The sequence below is a fragment of the Homo sapiens genome, chromosome 8, assembly GCF_000001405.40.
Source record: "Homo sapiens chromosome 8, GRCh38.p14 Primary Assembly".
NCBI classification, from domain to species: Eukaryota; Metazoa; Chordata; class Mammalia; order Primates; family Hominidae; genus Homo; species Homo sapiens.
The window spans coordinates 104,006,140-104,028,807 of NC_000008.11; the positions used below are offsets into that span (position 1 = coordinate 104,006,140).

Genomic DNA, 22,668 nt, shown 5'->3' on the forward strand with positions numbered 1-22,668 from the left:
CTATCTTAGTTTCTCTAGAATTTTCCTGCATTTATTATTTCTTGTTTCTGTTGTATTTCAATCTTTCTTCCTTTACTGATTTTATTTCTCCGCAAATTACTGTTGAAATTGTCTTAATAATACCTTCTGGCTGGGCGCGGTAGCTCACGCCTGTAATCCCAGCACTTTGGGAGGCCGAGGTGGGCGGATCACCTTGAGGTCGGGAGTTTGAGACCAGCCTGACCAACATGGAGAAACCCTATCTCTACTAAAAATACAAAATTAGCCGGGCGTGGTGGTGCATGCCTGTAATCCCAGCTGCTCAGGAGGCTGAGGCAGGAGAATCACTTGAACCTGGGAGGTGGAGGTTGTGGTGAGCTGAGATGGTGCCATTGTACTCCAGCCTGGGCAACAAGAGCAAAACTCCTCAAAAATAAAAATAAACAATAATAATAATACCTTCTTTCTGTTCTGCTACCCCTTCAAGCTAACTTGAGAGTGATCTATTTCTCTCTCTCTCTCTCTCTCTCTCTCTCTCTCTCTCTCTCTCTGTGTCTCTCTCTTTTTACTTAGGTCAGATATCTCAAGTGTGTATTTTTACATATGCTTCCTTCACTCCATCAGCTCCTAAGCCTTAACCTTCTACAATTTGACCTCTACCTCCAGTGCTTTACTGATAATATATATATATATTTGGGTTTGGGTTTTTGTATGTGCCTTTTTTGAACTATTTAATTTCTGTTAATAGATCATCATTTCATTTCTGAGGCTGAAAATTTTAAAGGTTTTTTTATATTTAATTTATATGGTGATTTGTCAAACATTATTGAGAGAAAAAACTATCCCTGCTATCAAAGAAAACACAGTTCAGTGAAATTAACAGGCTTAGAATAAAGACAGCCCAGTTCAAGTTCCAGCCCAGAAAATATCAAATTATGTGAATTCATTCAAGCTTCTATAAGCCTTAGTTTGCTCATTTCTAAAGTGAGAGAGTTTGGATTATATAACTTCTGAGATTCCTTCTATCACTAACATTGTTTGTATGCTTCTGAATATTATGTATGTTCTCTATATTTTATATTACATATTTTGTATATTGTGATTTGTAATGTTTATCATTCATACCTTCTTCTCTATTTCCACCCTCATTACTACAAGTCAGAGCCTTTTCCTAATCTAGCTCATTCTCTGCGCTACTGCTGAATTATTCTTCTTAATTTATTACTTGGAAATTACCTTTGTTCAGAAGTTTTTCTTATTACTCTCATTGAAAATTAAACTGTTTAAACCTCTTAACTAGACATTAAAAATTGTCATAAACGGATTCCGATCTAATTTTTTAACTAACATTTTACATATTCTGCTTTCTGTTATTCCTAGCATTTCCATTTGACTATTTTATCTTCCATCATCTATGTGTCTGCTGAAATTTCCCCATCTGTTCATGCATGCTGTTCATCTTTTTTACTACAGTCTTTACCATATCAAGCAGACTTATTTCAAATTCCCCATTTGATAGATTCAACATCTATACCATCTCTTAGTTGGCCTCTGTTGGTGGCTTTGTCCTTAACAGTAGGTCTTATTTGTCATGCTTTTTTTGTGTTTCCAATAAATTGGTATTGAATGTTGAGATCATATGATCAGTAATGACTGAGGCAGATAGTATTTATGCTTGAAAATGAGCACAAATTTTGTTCTGTTAGTTGGGGTGTTGGGGAGCATTAAACAACCTTCAGACTGCTACATCTGAGTATGAGATTTGGACTTATTATGAAGTGACTGCTACTGGCAGCAGGCAACAGTGCATATGAGGGATTTGTATTATACCCATTTCTCTATCCACGTAAAAACAGCAAAACAAAAGGAATGCTGGTGAATTGTTCAAAATTGATCAGTGAAACTATTGAATCTGTATTCTAGCTTGAGAGCCATACCTCATCAGATATACTGATATAATACAATAGCAATTCATAATTATATTGTTTAGAGATATACTTTTAAAAATGTTTGCTATTTTATGGAATCTGAGAATCTGGGAAGTGATAAAGTAGGGCCAGTACCTTGGTGGAATAACTTTAATTTTTACATTTGACAAATCATTATTAAATTCAAACATTCACTGAATATGGGAACCTATTTCATAAAAATAAGGATTTTACAGGTAACATGTCATATTATCTCTCAGTATTCTTAAAATTTATATTTTAAAGATTTATTAATTTGTTCTGTATTAATTATTATGGGTAAATATTCCTGCTTATTTGTGGTTTTGTTTCTGTTATTTTTTAAATAAAAATTAACAATGAAAATTATAAATATTTAATATACTAAAAATATCTTCAAAATATTTACATCTTATATGTTTGTGTGTGTGTGTGTGTGTGTGTGTTTAATAATACAGTATATGTTACTGTTCAGTATTGTATTTGTCCCTAATTTTCTTGAGGAAATTGGGACGTTTGGTCATTTCTTCATGCAATTTTCAATAATGAATATATTTTTTAAATACCTTTGTAGATGTGAGAATACTTCTCTTTTTGATAATAAAATAATAGGCTTGTGGGTAATAGTAATTTTTTTCTACGTGAATGGTGTCTTGCTTTGTCACATCAATATATATATTATACCATTTTCACATTTTATATTGTTATTAACTTGGCTGACTCTAAATATTGTTGTCATCTTTGAATAAGCTTATTTACTTTTAACTAACATAGAGTCTTTACATCTAACTCAACAGAAAGATTCTGTAGAATAATGCTATTACACCCAAGGATAAATTAATCTTCCTCCAAAATAATATAATATTCGTATTCGTGCACATTACCTATTTGCTTATTTACCATGATTTCTATGGCAAATATTTTGTATCTTGCAATCCTCATAACATTAGAAACGATGCTAAAATAATGAGCTAGAATTTTTAAAAAGTTAATCTTGCACATTAATGATGAACATGAGAATTGTAATTTTAAAGTTGTCATAATTACTTTAAGTTATTTATTATATACAAATATGTATATATGCTATATTAATTATTCTAAAATGTTTCATTTTTAATGTTTTCTAGTATATTTTATCATATATTTATACTTCAGTTATGCAGTTAACGCCCAGAAAATCTGTAGACATTCAAGATATTTTAACAAAAATATAATGTTTCTGCTGGTTTTTTTTTTTATTATTTTTTGAGACAGGGTCTCACTCTGTCACCCAGACTGGAATGCAATGGTATGATCACAGCTCACTGCAGCCTCGACCTCCTGAGCTCAAGCAATCCTCCCACTTTAGCCTCCTGAACAACTAGGACTATAGGTGTTTGCCACCACACCCGCTATTTTTTATTTTTATTTTTTGTAGATACAGGGTTTCACCATGTTGCCCAGTCTGGTCTCAAACACCTAAGCTCAAGCCATCTGTCTGCCTCAATCTGAAAGTGTTGAGATTACAGACATGAGCCACTGTGTCAGGCACTTCTGCTATTGATCAGCTTATTCTATACAGTATGGATATAGAGAAGTCATTTCTTGCCCAAACCTGAGACCATACTTGTTCTTCAGAGATATATCCAATTTTTTTAAATTTAAGATGTCAGCTTTATAAAGGAAAAGAATAATTCCTAAGTAGCTTTACTTTTTACAAATTTACTTTTCAAGAAAACCTATTACATTTACTTATGACATCTTTCCAATATAAACATGAAATAAGTCTGATTTAATACAGACTAGGTCCTGAGTTACATATTGGGGAAATTTTCATTGATTTCTGAGTTTTAGTATTCTTAGTATTTATCATACCTGTAGAGATACTCTACATTGAGCTTACTTTGATCTGGAGTTGTATCATTGTGAAAGATATGGATGGATAGATGGATGGATGGATGGATGGATGGACGGACGGATGGACGGACGGACGGATGACAGGCAATAACATTGGGTTATAGACAAGAGTTCCCACTACTAGAGGGAAATCCCTTGCAAGACAATTCCCTTGCATACAATCCCTTGCATACAAATCCCTTGTCCTTTCATTGAATTAAGAAACCTAAAGTACATCGCAAAACTGAAAAAATAGGTAGGAAGTTGCATCAAATACTTGGAAATTTTAAAAAATCTTTTATGAGCAACTATGTTGACCCAAAAAAATGATTCAAAACTGACAACTTTGCTGGATGATTATAAAATTATTTTTCCCTTAGAATGACTGAAAATAAATACTGAACACTTTCAGTTTTAGTTTTTCTTATGCATAAAGATTGCTGTTTAAGACAAAGGCCTTCTAAGTTGTTCTCTTTATTATTGTGGCCTATTGTCAGTTCATCCTCATCTCAAAATCTGCATATGCTAATAATGTGCTTTTAAGACTGGGTTGTTAACAATAGTATGTATTGTTATAACATTGTTAGTCAATGTAAATTAGTGGAGGGGCTGATACACAGTATCCTTTGTGAACGCATGCAGTTTAGAATAGCACCCATTAGATAATGATGGACAGTAGCCTAGATCAATTCAAGTACAAAAAAAAGAACTATAAATAGAGATTAGAAAATATAAACTATTCAAAAAATGTAACAGTGATAGATATTAAATCACTTTTTAAAAGACAATGGAATTATTTACCTAAGAAAGATTTAAATTTACAGGTGAGGGGGCCCTGGCTTTTTCAGTGGCTTACCCTTTGGTAATCTGATAAAACCATGGCCACTCTTTTTGGAATAATATTTTATATGCATAACATAAAATAAGGTAAATAAAATGGTTACAGAGGAAATGACTTATATTGAAATAAACACTCCAAGTTAAGAACCCCAAGTGGGCCCTAAAATATTTTAAGCCTTGCAAGTATTTATTATTTCCCACTTTTCAGTTGCTGCTATTCAAAATTAATTATATATTCTCATCTTAAAATTAAAACTAATTCAGAATTTTGGTGGGAGTTTGTGAGTACTATATCTCAATCCCTTTAAGGGACCTGATGTAAGACTGTGTAATTTAGGCATTGCTGCTTTAAATTTTCATAGCAGTAACATTGTGTCTAAGCTAGTCAGACCTATTTTTATCCAATGTGGGAGCAGGAGCCTGTGTCAGCCTTCTCTTATGTGCTGTCAAAGTTTAAAATGTGGTAGCTTTCCATTCCCCTTAACTGTGTTGGGACATTTGGGGAAATTTCTACCTTCTACTGTGGTTCTTTTCATTTTTCATTTATTAACCTATTTTCATTTCACACTATGGTATTTATTTAATATATACTTTGTATTTACGGAGAAAAATATATAAGTAAAATGTAAAAGATGGGTTAATTTTCAAACAACTTTTTTATAACGAGACATTTTTTGTAAGAGCTACTTCCTAAGGAGTGACCTCTGTTTTATAAATAATGGTCTCCTTTTGAGGACATAGGACATAGCAACACATTTAAAATAATTCTCTGGTTTTCACTCATTATCATATTTTTCAATTATTAAAAATGATTCTTCACAAAGAAGTGAAATTGCATATCCTAACATTTACTCCACTTTCCACTTGGAAAAATTTCTTGATGGAATCAGAATAAATGAAATTGTATATAAATACATGAAATATTAGTCTAACTTTCTGCTAGGGTAATTGTAGCTATTTCCCAAAGATTTGTTATATAATAAGATGTTTATAATTAATGTAAGATGAATCTTTAAATAAATGTAAAGATTGGTACTCTTAAAAATAGGCTTTAAGCAATTTAAGAAATAATACATAGATATACCCTTTGTTTCTGTTGATTGTGATGAAGATATATAAAGATGTTAGACTAAAAACATGCAGCAAACTACTGAACACACTTATTTGTAAAGAAAAGTGTTCCTTTAAAATAGTTTTTCAGAAACAAAAAGACAGCTGTGATATTTACACTATGAGGTTACCTTTTCATTTCTCTTACCATTTAACTGTTACTAGTAATTAAATATTTTTTATATATTTACATTTAATGTCAGTTAATTTGACATGTTCCTGAGGCACTTATATGAAAATACTAAACTTAGAAAGTAAATCACATGATAGTATATGGACTTAAAAGTATTTAAAAATGCTCTGACTTTTATGTTACCCTATGACTTTAAAATGTAAAATAATCACAAGATATGGTGTAGAATAAAGCCAATATTCACTTTCTAAAGTCACCTAATCTAATATCAAGTAGTACAAAATTGTTTGCCATATAATTCATGACATTTGGGAAATTATGTCCTTTTTTTCTTTTTTTTTTTTTTAAATTACTTGCACTTTTCATTATCCAAAATAAGGTTGAGATAACTTATAGGTAAAGTGGATGTCATTGAAACATTAGCTTTGAGGGAGACTAATGCTTTCTTGACTGTCTATATTATATAAGCATTTCCATTTTTGTGCTTACAACTGGATGGGGAGGTGATAATTTTATTTGAAATATACTTTGACATATGTTTTACTTTTGAATTCTGGAGCCAAAGCTAGTGTTTTTAAAGTCATCTCCCAAATTGTGGGGCTGATGTTAGGAAACATTTATTGATCATGTTAAATGTAAAAGTATTATGCTAGGTTCCAGGGATAGAAAGGTCAACAATGAGAGGTTGCTTAAATTTAAGGATACTTCCTTCAACAAGGATTAAGTTTTGGTATTAGATTTGTTTGTGGTCAAAGAGATCATGTTGTTTCAGAATTATTATTTCAATTAATACCCACTCTGAATTGAATCAGTTGGCATAGCTAAAGTGCACCAAGATAGACAGCCAGTTAACCAGTTTTCTACAGAGTGATTTTTCTTGTGGATCAGGTTTAAATATGGCTACAGACTTCACAGTCACCCTATTTTCTTATAACCTCATTTTGATTCTTCTGTTTAAATGTTCAGGTGTATAGTGTTTTCTGAAAGCCTTTTTATATCTTAGTTGGTATAGTACTAAACAGCTTCAGGTGCTACAGAATTAATGCTTATATGGTTTTCTTCACTCTTGAAAATGTTAGGAAAAGTCATTGAATTCTTTTAAAATAGAATAATTCACATATTTCACGTATTCCATTTAGGGAATTCATTTTGGAAAGCAGGCAGTTTTGTTTGTTGTTTATTATAACTGAGCAACTATTATCTTTGCTGGGAATTACTTTGAAAGGCAGATTTTGGTTTTTTAGAAATTCTTAACAAGTTTCGTTTGAAATTGCTCAGAATATGTTGGGGAAAAGAAAAATTTTTACATACTCCATAATTTTAAACAATTACCTTTTTCAAAATCAGTTTGATGCATCATAACCAAATAGCAGAAGGGCACTAAAGATCAACTGAGCTGCTTTTTGACTAACGTTTCAGGGATTGTGAAGCAGCAGATAGACAGCCATATCACAGATCCAGATCAACAGAACAACGGCCTCTCCTTGAGCGGACCACCACCCGCTCCAGATCCACTGAACGTCCTGATACAAACCTCATGAGGTCGATGCCTTCATTAATGACTGGAAGATCTGCCCCTCCTTCACCTGCCTTATCGAGGTGAAAGATAAATCAATCAGACTAATTTCCCCTTTGCCCCACCAGCACACCATTTTATTTTCCCAACAGTTAACTGGTCTCTTCTATCATCTTTGGCTGATCACTAGTAACAATCGATACTAACCTTTTCAATGTAAACACACTATTTATATTCACTGGATATAATAGTGTGTGGCTACCATTGTAATTTGTTTATTAACTGTCCTGACTGCATTTGTTTTGTGATTTCTCATTAATCAGGAGTCCTGGGTAAATTCTGTCATTAACTGTCATGTTCCTCTCCTACAGAATGAGAAACTATCTGTGTCCATTACACATCACTTTTCAAATCATCATAATGATTATAAATAAAACTAGATTTTTTAAGTTTCTTTCTATCGATACTAATATTATGTATTAACCAGTATTTTCCTTAGTTGAATCTTGAATTGTTCAGGATTTTATTTGTAGTTTCATGCAATGTTTTCTAATAAAGGGATATTTAATATAAGCCTGAGTAAAAATCTCTGGATCAAGGGAGAAAGGTTAGTGCTGAAAGTTTGAAATCTGGTAGAAAGAAAAGTACTACCTTTTCTTTCTTGAGCAGCGAAATTCTCCTCTTGCTTTCAATGGATAGAGTACTAATTTACATTAATAATTCCATGGATGTTACTGTAGGGTTTTGTGTGCATGTATGTGTATGTATGCATATTACACCAAAAATAAACATCTTTTGCTATTTAATCATTCAGATATCCATATTTTGTCCAGTTTTCCTAACCTTTTAATCTGCAGCTAAACTTCTTTTTAAATTGTATTTATACAGCTATCATATGAACCAAATGTAGGTATTAAAAATATGTAACTCATTATACTGAAAATGAATATTAATGGTGTGTCTTTAGGTCTCATCCTCGTACTGGGTCTGTCCAGACAAGCCCATCAAGTACTCCAGTCGCAGGACGAAGGGGCCGACAGCTTCCACAGCTTCCACCAAAGGGAACGTTGGATAGAAGTAAGTTTTATTTCTAATTGTCTCGTTTAGGAAATACACATGGAAGCTAAGGTGAATCAAGATTTTCTTATTACCTTTGTGTTAATTTTCTTCTTTTGTTAATTGTATGCCTTGTCTGTATTTGATAATAGTTATATTTATAAATATTATGTATTTTTGAATAAAAATTTGTAATATTTCCAGGTAAAATAAGGTATCTTTATTGCTCTTGCACATTTTTAAATTTGAATAAATGCATCTTAAAAAGTAAACAATACTCTTAAATAAGTTGTTGGATAATATTTCTTTGCTACAAATAAGTTTATGTAATTGTTGATAGTTATATAAAGTTTATTAGTAACTAGCCAAATCAATTTTCACACACTGCAAAGGACTGGTTAGCTGATGCACAATGGTGATCCTTCTCAAAACTGGAGAACAAGAAAAAGGTAATCATGAATATACAATGAAAGATGCATGTTGTACTGATGTTTTATTAATTTTACATTTTTGCATAAGAAGCACTATTTGCTGACACTCACATGAACATACTTCCCAAACATCTATAAATTCTTGGATAAAGGACCTCTAAAAGCATGGATAACTGAATATAATGGTTTTTAAGATCATTTTTTAAATGATCCCTTTATTTAGTAACTGGATGTGCTTTGCAAATAATACATATAAGTTTAAATCATTTAACTTTTCTCTAGTAGATAATACATTCTGTGCTTTTGGAAATTTCTGTTGTTTTTAACCCCTGTGCTTTGGTTCCCTTTTTGTTTGTTTGTTTTTGTTCTGTTTTTTGTTTTTATTTTGTTTTCCCTAGACAATGGAGTCAAGGAGATAGAACCTTATGAAGGTCTGTACATAAAAGAGGGTTTGTTTTGTGCTAACAGCCTTTTTGGGGGGCTAGTAAGCAAAAATAAACCCAACTGCAATTGATGTCCTTTCGTTGTGTAGACTTAAATACAGTAAAATTATTTTGTTTTATGATATCTGACAAAGTATTCAACTTTTTTTTAACTTGGAAATTATACCAAGGAGTTAAATATCTTTGATTCATCAAATAAGAATGCAAAGAGTTTAAATTCTTTTAAATGACCAGATAAAATGTGCTCTTTCATAAAATTTTTATGTACCTTTTAACCAGAAACTAGATTTCGAGTAAGACTTTAACCAAAGATATCAATTGCAGTCTACGTTTACATCATTGAGGATGTACACATAGTGTAGTTATATTTACCATCATATATTTCATTTTTTATGATGATGTTTTTAATTATTAAATTTGGCTTTCTAGAAAAGAAAGTTGTTGAATTAGAAAGTGATTGTGGCTTGCGTTTCCAACATCATTTTTCATGTTGTAGCAAGACTGCTTACAGTATATCAGAGTTAAATATGATATAGTTTTATTATCAAACACTACATTATGACTCAGAAGAAAATACTGAATGGTGATATATGGAGTGTCATACATTTGCTAGATCAATACAAAATCCTCTACCAGTTATGGAAATCTGAAATTAACTTTGTATCTTTAAAAACTTGTTGACTGTTTACTTATGAATCTCTAGCACATAGAATAATGCCTGGCACATTGTAGACCCTCAATAAATCTTTGTTGAATGAATTCATGAAATATTTATTTAAAAAGGGAAAAGCTACCTCAAATAGTATACAAAGTACCACTAAAATAATCTCGTCATTATATATATGTTTATATTAAATTCGTATTTCTGTAACCTATTTGTAACAAATTTGTAAGCGTGCTGCATTCGAGCAGCAATATTTTATACCCTTATATAACTTGTTGATATAAGTTGTGTTCTTGTTAACTGGATGATGGTCAACTTCTGTTTTGTCGTTCTTTCTATTTCCAAGTACCATAATTTTGAACAATCCAGTGATATTGTGACTGATGGTCTGTTATGCTGCCTGAGAAAAAGACTTCACAGCATTTTTATAGTTCTTAATTATTTGCTTAAAATTGGGGGCATAGAATTTTAAATCACTTTTCCTAAGGAAAGTTTAGTAATATTTATGGAACTTTTTGTCTCTTCAGTGTTTTTAAAGATGGAGTTTCAACATCATTTATTGGCATTTAAAGTCAGAAACTATAATTTATGCACATTTTTAAAATTGAATTTTTAATGTTGTTCATAGCAATAGTCTATTGAAATATAAGTAGCTCTATTCTTTGTAATAGCAAGTATCCTAGAAAACAGAGCCTATTGGTAATACTGAAATTCAGAGATGGTGAAGTTTCTGATGGGCTTCTCAATAAAGATTATCTTTACTATTGTTTTTGTCCCTATAAAATTAATTAAAACCACAGTTTTCCTTTAAAGTCCCCAATTGTGATTTTTCCATTTTTTTTATTTCATAAAACAAAGAGGAGCCAAAACCTCCCTTATCCTTTTTAGTATGAAATAAAAGGGGTTTTGTTTTTTAGTTTTGTTTTATATAAAAGTATGGATGATTTTTTAAAGTGTTTTTATAAATGTTGATATGGAGACTTCAGTAGATTATGCAATTTTTTTTTTAGTTTTAAAGAAGATATATAATATCTCTTTTAGAAATCGCAACTTCAGTTAATCTTCAGTAAGTAACACAAAATAGACTATCAGTTGATGGTCTAAATCAAATTATGTTTGGATTATCACCTAAAAAGTTAATTATGAGAAGTTGTAATTTAATGGCATTATTTTAGAATTAAAGTATTGAAATATTTATTTTCAAATCCTTTTCAACAGCCAAAATATGAGCAAGTCATAATTTAACTCTTTATGATTTTGATTATTTTATATTTTAGTCTGTTATATATTTAGCCATTTATCTTTGTTTAGAACCAGAGAAGTAAAATAAGAATAATATAGAAAGCACAATGTACTAAAAACTATAAGGCATTATTATTATTTTTCCCTAACTTTTATGTACTGCCATTTTGTAAAATGTCATTTTCTCTTTTTCTAGAAGAAAAGTTATATAACTTTTTTTAGTAATAGACCAAGTTTATATATAAAGTATTTTGCCTACTTTACCCAGTTATCCACATATTACAAATATTTTAAAAGTCACAATTTCTCTTTTACAAATCAAAGTCATCATAAAAGCAATGTGATAATTAACCAGTAAATTTATTTACTTTTCTATAGCATGTCAGAAACGTATCAAAAATAACCTATTGGGCCAGTTGCAGTGGCCCACGTGGCTCACGTCTGTAATCCCAGCACTTTGGGAGGCTGAGGTGGGTGGATTGCTTGAGCTCGGGAGTTCAAGACCAGCCTCGGTAACATGGTGAAACCCCATCGCTATAAAAAATATAAAATTAGCCAGGCATGATGGCCCACTCCCATAGTCCCAGCTACTCGGGAGGCTGAGGTGGGAGGATCACTTGAGCCCAGGAGACGCAGGTTGCAGTGAGCCGTGATTGTGCCACTGCACTCCAGCCTGGGTGACAGTGAGACTCCGTTTCTAAATAATAAGTATCTATTGGAGTCTTTATCATTCTGAATAATTTAGAATTTGTTATTTGTTTAGTTTCATTGAAGAGTAACAGATATACCTATTTGGTCTTATATTTTTCTTTACTTTTGCTTCTGCAAGTACAGAAGTTAATGAAGAAACTGAGCATGTGGAAGAGCAGGGGGAAGAAAAGCAGGGAGAAGAGGTCAAGGCAGGTCTGTCTGACTGTGTATCTAAAATAAATAAGTGATTGTTTTCAAATATGACTTTACAATTTTACATAAGACTTTAGGCTCCAAATTTATAAATGCACAATGAAGAATAGATTGTTTTTCACAACTAACTTTAAGATAAATTACCTCATTTTATTAATGAATGGGTATTACTTAAGCTATCTAGGCAATTTGTCAGAATATTTAATTTACCCAACTGGCTAAATATTTTCCCTGATGTTTAAATCAAACTAGAATTATAGGTAGTGCCCCTGACCAAGACATACACCTACCCTTTACCCAGCTTTACATTCAGTTCATTTGTTTATTCAAAAATATTTAATGAGTACCTACTAGAAAACTATATTTTATCATGTGTTATGGTGAGTACAGTTTTGTTGAAGCTTTAGCCCATTCTCCTATGGATTTTGAATCTAGTAGAAGCAAATTATAAAGAAATATAGAACGGAATATAAATTCCATTAAAACATTTATAGACCATGATCATTTTTTCCATTATATTTTTTTCCTAAAATAAAGCAATTACAGGCTTCTCTTCTTCATCCCAGTTCAATATTACTCTAACATTTATTGTCAATCATAATTTCTCCCCATCTTTCTAAATGAAATGCATACCTTTTATTTTTGTTGTTTTTAAAGTCCCTATTATGTTTATATACCATAATGTTTAATGTTCTTGAAAGGATTTTAAAACTTAAAAGATCCCAGCCTGGCCAACATGGCAAAACCCCATCTCTACTAAAAATAAAAAAATTAGCTGGGCATGGTGGTGCGTGCCTGTAGTCCCAGCTACTTGGGAGACTGAAGCAGGAGAGTCACTTGAACCTGGGAGGCAGAGGTTGCAGTGAGCCAAGATCACATCACTACACTCCAGCCTGGGCAGCAGAGCGAGACTGTGTCTCAAAAAAGTTAAAACATTATATAATCAGTAAATCAGTATATTTTTATATACTTCTTTTATCAAATTTTCACTATTTTTATTTGAAACTCAGAATTGAATACTAATCTTACCAATTATCAAGTTTAATTGTAACTTTCTTTGAATAATACAGAATACCTTTAATTTTGTCAAGTGTTTAACTGACCACTTTTTATTTATGAATAATAGAGTGTACTTTTTGTGCCTTTTTTTCCTCTGGTTTTCATGGTGTGAAAGCAATGCCATTACATATATTGTACATAAGATATATTTTCATGGAAGCATTCTCTCAATGGAGTTTTTAGTTTTACAACTGAAAACATCTCTTAAGCTACTAGAATTACTCATTATCAGTAACTTTTTAATGTCATAAAGGCGACAAATATCATCAGTCATCTGTAATGGAAACAGGCAAGTTTAATTGCATATTTCTAGACATGTAGAATTGCTTTGGTTCTGAATATCTACTATCTAACTTTTAGAATGTCACCCTTCTTCCATTTTCCTGCAATAATTTAGGAATTGCATTTTTATGGAATACTATAAGAATGAATTTCATTTTAGCTTAGCTGTTAAGTTAATGTTTTCCCATTAGCTCATTCCTCTGTATCTCATATAGTCCATACAAACACTGCAGCCTTTCACACTGTTAATTGTCTTCCACATTAAAGTCATTTTTTAAGGTAGCATTAGTTTGGGGACTTCAGCAATAGTTAATATCACTTTTATTTATTTTAAATTCATTAAGATAAAGAAGCCCATGTGCTAAACCAGTTTGTTGCTGCTGTTTTATTGTCAAAAGTAATTAGTAAGTTGCATCAGTTTTTAAATTAACATAAAAGCATAACCATATACTATAAAAATGATTTTTCATTTATTTGGTTTTTTTTACTTTTCCTATGAGATAGGAAGTATATACTTTTCTCTTGTGTTCATTAATACAGAGTGTCATGTTTAGTGCATGGATTTGTTTCCCTATTGTGTGATTTCATCTTTTTTGATGTGCTTGGTTTTTATTTTGGTTATTAATGATCTTAATCATTAATCACTATTGTCTATTTTCAATATTATAAAGACAATGAGGGAGAAACATCAACACCACCTACTAATGGGAAAAAAGGCAAGTCTTAAAATGAAGTTTATGGTGTCTTTCTAGATATTAGACACTCCATACTGACATTTGTAATATATTTGAATATGCTTTTTAAAATAAGCATAAGTATTAGTCTCAATTTAAGTTATCCAGTATTTAAAATGTCTATTCTTTTTTATTTCTGAATATGAAATTAGTCTTCAAAATACTTACCTTTAATGATTCTGATGCAATTCTATTTTATTGAATGTAATGGCATTAAAATTGGAAGATTTACTTTGTTGATCATGTTAAGGGAAAGGATTCTGAGGAAGATACTAGTGGTCATGTTATACATTTACAAAATCACAGCATGGATATTTTTCAATCCAGAAATTGTTTTAAAATTGAATTATTTTAAAAACATTTTAAAGTAGAAGTTTAAAGTAGAAAATGAGACAAATTTAATCATAAGTTAAACAATAATATAAAAGGAAGATTTATAACATTTGTAGATTTTTCATAGTTCTATACACATGAATTAATATTGCCTGGAAAGTAAAAAGATGATTGATTTTAATACTTAGATTTGATTTTCCTATAATTATTGCTGACATAATTCTGTAATCTACCACAACCAAATTCTATCAAAATGGTAGGACTGTGTATGTTTTGCAGTAATTGATAATCAAATATGTCTACATATATTGATTTAGAATATTAGCATTTTAAAATGATTTTATCAAAAAAGTAACATCCCGTTCTATATCATAAAATTTGGCCCATTACTGGACCAAATTAAGAAATAAGTAGTTTTATGCTTCATTAATTTCATTGAAATGGTTTTTAGTCTTGAATGTATTCTTCCCTGTCTTCATCTTTTATAAAGAATGTCTACAGTGTTATTTGTAAAACCTAATTAACACTAAAATACAGTTTTTCTTACTGCGAAGTATTAATTATTCTTTAATGCACATTCTAGAATATGATTTAAAAGATAATGTAACAAAATAAAGTTAAATCATGTAAATATGAATAGTATTCATAAGACAATAAACATTTAAATGACTTCTCAACATCTCAACATGTTTTTACATATTTGTCATTTTTACCTATTTCACGAGCTCCATGATTTTTGATTAGTAATTATGAAAGGAAATGTTGATATGTACTTAAATATATGTCGGCAATCTGAAATAATAAATATATCTTCCTAAATATTCAACAAGTTTTGAGAACATTTAATGCCATTTTGTATTTAGGTGCATTTAAATGTGTCAAGATCGTATCTTTTCACATGAACTCACTAGGCTAAATATTTTAACTAACTGAGGAAGTATTATCATAAGGTTTTTTTGTCTTCTTGACTTCTAGTTGGCCCTGAATACTTTCACATCTTTTACCTTCAGACTGTTATGCTTTCTTCTTATTTCCTATGATCTTGCATGTGCAATTACCATGACAGATTCTTCCTGCCTCCCGCACAGACAAAACCAGTTCATTAAGACAGTGGTACTGCAGGCAGAATAACGAGTTAGAGTCACTCAAACCAGTCTCCCTGAAGGCTAAGAGATTAAGGCTTTTCAAAGATAGTTTGGTGGGCATGGAGTAGGGAATGGGGAATGTTGATTGGTCGGGGATGAAATTGTAAGGCTGTGGAAAATGGTTCTTATGTGCTGAGTTAATCTCTGGGTGGGGGCCACAGGATGTGGATTCAGTCATCAGTCGCAGGTCTGGATGGAATCAGTCAATCCTCCAAAATGCAAAAGTCTGAAAAATATCTCAAAAGACCATATTAGGTTTACAATAGTGATGTTATCTACAGAAGTAACTGGAGAAGTTAAAATCTTGTGACATCTGGAACAATGGCTGGTTATTATTTAAGCCTACATTTTAGCAGAAGTCAGGCCCGTCTCATAATCCTAACTTTATGGCCTTTGATTGGTTTTACAAAGGCAGTTTTGTTTTGGGGAAGGGCTGTTTTTATCCTTGCTTTGAAGTTAAACTATAAATTAAATTCCTCCCACACACAGGAATGATTAAAGACAGCTTGGAGATTAGAAGCAAGATGGGGTCAACTGTGTCAGATTTCTCTCTTTTTTTGTTTTTTTTAAGACAGGGTCTTGCTCTCTCGCCCAGGCTGGAGTGCAGTGGCGCACAGTCTCAGCTCACTGCAACCTCCCCCTCCCGGCTCAAGGGATTCTCCTGCCTCAGCCTTCTGAGTAGCTGGGATTACAGGTGCCTGCCACCACACCCAGCTAAGTTTTCTATTTCTAGTAAAGACGGGTTTCACTACCTTGGCCAGGCTGGTCTCAAACTCCTGACCTCAGGTGATCCTCCCGCCTCGTCTCGGCCTCCCAAAGTGCTGGGATTACAGGTGTGAGCCACCACTCCCAGCCTCAGATTTCTCTTAATGTCTTGATTTTGCACAGGCAGTTTCACATGTAAAGTTTTCTAGTGACAATGATTATTGGAACCTCAGTTATAAATTTGTTTTTATACACACACTTATAAATTTGTTTTTATCATTTATATGAAATCCTCTCCACTGCAAAATATTGCTATTGCTATATAAATCAATCCAACATATGATATAGTTGAACCTAGAAATTAATGAATAAATTTGTAAGATGAGAACTCTGTACATATTTCACATACGCTAACTTGGTTTAACTTGGCTTAATATTTTGATTATTTACCTGTAATTAAGATTTGGTTATTCAGTTTGTCCTTTTGCTATCTTCTGAGAGAATGGCTTTTTATTTACAGTTTATTTTATGTATCACAATAAAGTTCATGAGTAAGTTTAAGGGAGGACATTGTTTTTTTAATTGGTTAAAGCATTTCGTGGATATGTTAAAGTATATTGTTGTAGCAGGTGCAGTCAGAAGGATAGTTGAAGCTAGAGGGGTGACTCATATATGAACTTACAGATCATATTTAGGATTTTGGTTTTTATCACATAAAATGGGAAAGTTTGGATTAAAGTGACACAATACCACTTTTTTTTTTTTTAGTAAGATGATGTCAATTACTACATTGAGAATACCCTGAAGAATTAAGATTGCAAACAGGGAACATTGTTAGAAGGTTTTGCACTAACCCAGGAAAGAGATGATAGTGGCTTAGACCAGCATGATAGCAGTATAAGTAGCTGGATTCTGAATAGATATTGAAGATAGAGCCAACAAAATTTCCTAACAAGGTAAAAGAGAAAGAAAGATTCAATAATGACATCCAGGTTTTTAGCCTGAATAGAAAAATAATGGAGTTTCTATTAACTAATACAGGGAAATACTTGAGAATAATAGGTTGAGTGGGAATATCAGGTGCTCAGTTTTGGATATGATAAGTTAGAGATGCTGTTAGACATCCAAGTGAAGATGCCAAATTAAATATGGTCTACATTTCATATTAGAGGTGTGGACTGTAGCTATAAATCTGGGACTCATCCTTATAAAGAGGTATTTACCACCGTAAGACTGGTTATCAAGAGGACAAGTGGACACATGTAGGTAGATAATGAAGAGGTCCAAGAAGTGTAAACTGGACCACTTTGATATTTTGAAGTTGGGAAGATGAAGCAACCAGAGATGAAAAAAGTGGGAGAAGAGGGACAAGTTAAGAAATTACTTGAAGGAGAGAATTTATCAAGAATATGAAATGATTATCGGACTTAGCAAGTAGGAAGTCACTATGTTGACCTTTATTAAGAGCAGTTTCAGTGGAGTGATAAGGGCTAAAGGACTGATTAGAGGGGATTCAAGGAAAGAGAGGAATGGAGACAGCAAGTGCAGACACCTTTGAAAGGCTGTAAAGGGAAGAAAAGAAAAATATCTAGAGCCGTGAGGAGAGGTCAAAGAAACAGAATACATGAAGGATATGTGGGAAACTTCTTGTTCACTTGGCTTCTTCTGATCCAGGTCTGCCACTTGGCTGTGTAATGCCACGTGGCCTCGAACCTTTTGCTTGTAGTTTACCAAGATATCTATCAGTGTTCTGTGACTTAGCTCCTTGATTTAGAATCAAAGACTTTTAGATTTGGAAGGGACATTATAAATCTTTTGTTAAAACTATTTTCCCTTATAGATAAAGGAGGAGAATTCTGGAGGATAACTACCTTTCTTCAATCCACATAGCAGCAGATCTGTAGTCTAGACTGTTAATCTCATGTGTTGATATACCATGCCTCTTCATAGCATTCTATGACACTGTTGTAGATTGTGTTCTCTTTGCATGGACTTCAACCGGTTTCGTTGTTGTTGTTGTTGTTGTTGTTGTTTTTAGACATTAGCTAAAGATGTAGTTCAACCAATGTCTGCTATTTTAAATGTGTTGTATTAGGTAGCCATTGAGGATGCAAAGATGAACAAGATATATTTCTTGCCTTTGGGGAGCTCCCAAGGGAAAAAATAATATAATGATAAGAAATAAAACATAGCTGGTAAAATTACTCTATAATGTGTAACTTATATAAAGTGTCTTAAGATTGTGGTACATATTCAGGGTCAATTTTATAAGGAGAAGGTAAGTTTTGAGAGGTTCTGGGTAGGTTTTCAGTCCTAAATATTTCTCCTATTACCTGTCATAGTATTTCATATTCCGCTATTACCTAATGGCTTATTTTCATAATACAAAGCTTTTAGCCTTTCTGGAACACTGAAATATAAATATTCCTGAGGGCACTATCCCAAGCTATTGTCACATACAAATCTTCATAGAAAGCAAGTGGGTGGAGAAAATCAAGTGTAGGAAAAAGGATGCTGAAAGATGTGGTAGAGTGCTAGTTGTCTTGGAAGGGTTATAATGGCAAAATCTGTTCATTCTAAATTTTATTATTTGCCGTGTAGATATGCTATAAATCTACTTTTTAAAATAACTTGGTATGTTAAAATTGCTTAGAACAAATAGTTGTCACATAATAGGCCAGGTGCAGTGGCTCACAGCTGTAATCCCAAAGCTTTAGGAGACTTGCTTGAGGAAAGGAGTTTGAGACCAGCCTGGACAACCTAATAAGACCCTGCCTCTACCAAAAACAAAAAAATTTAAAAATTACGCAGGCATAGTGTTGCACACCTCTAGTCCCAGCTACTTGGGAGCTTGAGGCAGGAAGATCGCTGAGCCCAGGAGTTTGAGGCTCCAGTGAGCTGTGACTGCACCACCACACTCCAGCCTGGGTGACAGAGGGTGACTCTGTCTGTAAAGCAAATATACAAACAAAAAAGTTTGAAGTTGGGAAGATGAAGTGAAACGATACTTGTTGCATAATAATTACTATATAAATGTTAGTTATTACTGTAATTTCTTAGTAATGTCTTGCTATAATTTTGTATTTGTGGCACAAAATCTGAAAATTTTTGTTTTATATTTGAAGTCAAATTAAGTCTGATTATGATCACCCTGAAGCAGTTGTTAAACGTATACACACACACACACACACACACACAGTAATGTACCACATAATGCTGTTTTGGTCAATAACAGACTCCATATACAACAATAGTCTCATAATATTATCATACTGTGCTTTTCCTGTACCTTTTCTATATTTAGATATGTTTAAATACATATATACTTATTGTGTTGTAATTGCCTGCAGTATTTAGTATGGTAACAAGCTGTACAGGTTTGTAGTCTAGGAGCAATAAGCTATATCAAATAGCCTAGGTATATAATAGGCTACCCCATCTAGGTTTGTGTGAGTACACTCTGTAATCTTTGCACAATGACGAAATCACCTAACAATGCATTTCTCAGAACATATCCCTGTCGTTGAGCAATGTATGACTGTATATAGTTTAGTAGATTTTTGGAAATTAGTAATCATGATGCTATTTTTAATCAAATGACTTGCATAAGAAACAATACCAGGGTGGAAATAAATAGAATTGGATTGCAGTATAAGTTATTTCATAATGTGCTAATACATTTCTACATATTTCAATGCATGTGTAAAAATCAATATGCAAATTTTAGGATACTTTTCTCTAGGCCAGAGAACTGTTTAATCCATTAGGATTTAACAAAAAGTAAGAATTTTTGGAGATGTGGCTGATAAAGTCTAAAGTCTCAAATAGTTTTGTTTCCATTTTATTGTTTATGTTTCATTATTGTTTGTTAATTTTGTTTGGTTTTGGAAAGTTAACATCTACAACCTTCCTAATTGGCTGTTAGTGATTAATTCTTTGCCAGGATTATATAGACTAAAGCCTACCGTATCACCTATTAAAAAGTCAGATCCCTGAAAATACACAATGAGATGGAAAAAAAAATTGTGTTCCTTTAATGTGTACAATTTCTACATTGTTTCAAATACAGATAACCTTATAAATAAGAAAGAAAGAAATGGAAAGAGGAGAGGGGGAAAAATAAAAACAAACAAACATATTTAAAAAGTTTACAAAGGAACCAAAAGTGATAGTTATTTTGACAGTCTTTGTAATTAATGATTGCTTCTGCAGGCATTCTAGGTATTGGATACCATTTAGGGTGACAGGATACAACAGTGATGAAGGAGCTTGGCTTTGTTTTGTTGCCTCTTTCTATTCTCATGAATGCTACTAGGGCAGGGAGAATGTTAGCACCCATATCTTAATTTCCAAATTTGATTAATATGTAGCTAGGAATGGATTTTATGGTGGAATTGGTGGATATTTCCTAAGTATATCATTCCCTCCCAACTTAGATAAATGACCATGTGTCCAAAATTAATATGAGAGAGATTCAGGGATACTTTAAAATACCAAGGGATTTATCATATGTTTTTGAGCAGGATGGACATTCAGTCACATCTGTATTAAGAAAAGTAACTTGGTGACAGCAAGCAAGATGGACTTGAAAGAGGAGAAACTGAGGGCATAGGACCATTTAGGGCAATTCAGTCATCCGGTATTTGATGGCCTGAACTAAAGCAGAGGTTGGAATAAAGAGGAAGGAATGCACTTAAGATTTCCTCTCCCCATTCATAATCCATAAACTTAAGTGTACCTGTTGTTTAAGTGAAATACTTGTAAATGAATATTTCTAATTTCTTTTCCTAACCTTTCCTTTCATTCTGGGAGCCTTTCCCCTTTAATTTACTTTTGTTTCCCTTTTCTCATCTTATTTCTTCTATGCTTCGAAAGTCCCAACTGACTAAACAAATTTAGAAAAGAACTCCCTTTCACCTCATACCTTCCTGCAAACTTAGTCATTCTTCAAGGCCATATCATTGTTGACTTCCTAAATGCAATCCTTAAATCATCTTCTCTTTGTTGTTGAAAGTAACTTAATCTTAGGAAGGTGATATGATACAAGAGAAAGAGTGTAGTTCTTGAAACTTTGCCTCAGGGCCTGCTTTACAATGTACTAACTGTGTGACTCTAGACCCTTGCCCCAAGTTAGTTCATCTGAGAAAAGGAAATTGTAACATATTTCTCTCATTCCCAGTATGCTACTATGAAAATCAAGTGATGTAATGAGTATGAAATTGTAAACTAAGATAATTTTTCAGTGCTTATCCTTATCTGTCAGTTCTATTTTCTCACCTGTATAAACCACCTAATAGAAGGTCCCATCTGTGTTTTGTAGGGTCAAATGTGATGCCATCTGTGAAAGCATATTGGAACATATAATATTATACAAATCTTACTAATAAATGAATTTATGCTATTTTATTTTATTTAGAGAAAGGGTCTCACTGTCACTCAGGCTGGAGTGGAATGGTGTGATAATAACTCACTGCAGCCTTGACCTCCTGGGCTCAACTGATTCTCACACCTCAGCCTTCCAAGTAGCTGAACTACAGGCATATGCCACTATGCCTGGCTAATTTTTAAAAGTTTTTTTAGAGATAGAATCTCTAAAAAAAAAAAGATCTAAAGAAAGAGAACCTATGTTGTCCAGGCTGGTCTCAAACTGTATGCTCTTTAAATTATAGTGTTCAGATAGAATTTGCTACATGTTGTGATGAAGACTAGCTAGAATATAATTACTTTGCAGATGTATGGGTTTCTTAAATATTACTTACTAAAAAGTCACCTCTTAGTTAAGTCTCCATGAATATAATCACTCTTCAAATTACCTAATATTTATTAAATCAAGCTTTAATCTACAAGTTAAAGATGGGATACATATAATGATCATTTAAGAATTTCAAATCTTAAAGCTTGTTCTTCTGTATTTTATTGAATTTTAAAAACAAATTAACTTTTAATTACATGCCATTTTAATTAATTCTGTTCTTTTTATGACTTTAATTATGTTTTAAAAATAGATGCTTGAGTTTCAGTATAAAGCTTAATAGTAGCCACATTTGGAACTTCTGGAAAATCTTGTAAACTCTCAGTGCCTCAATTTCACCATCTCTGTTATAGGTACTCTTCTATAAAATCCCATTTGACAAATCAACTTAAGATCAAAAGATGTAAGAGTAATTTTAGAGGTGGAAATAACCTTATAAATTTTCAAGACCAGCTTTATCCCATCAAATATAACAAATCTAGATGTCATAGAGGTTATCAAGATGTTACTGGAAGGGAGC

General features: G+C 32.3%; 1 protein-coding gene across 64 annotated transcripts in view; it reads left to right on the forward strand.

The window, feature by feature from the left end:
* Positions 1–22,668, forward strand: part of RIMS2 (regulating synaptic membrane exocytosis 2) — a 755,485-nt gene that overhangs the window by 505,530 nt on the left and 227,287 nt on the right. For 43 of the 64 annotated variants that reach the window (XM_017014015.3, XM_017014016.3, XM_047422473.1 and 40 more), the window contains 2 exons: positions 7,303–7,482; positions 8,367–8,476. In XM_017014015.3, coding sequence (XP_016869504.1) covers positions 7,303–7,482; positions 8,367–8,476 — 290 coding nt within the window. Of the gene's footprint in view, positions 1–7,302; positions 7,483–8,366; positions 8,477–9,284; positions 9,318–12,069; positions 12,139–22,668 lie in introns of all 64 variants that reach the window. The other 21 variants (NM_001348492.2, NM_001348495.2, NM_001348489.2 and 18 more) reach the window with 4 other exon arrangements.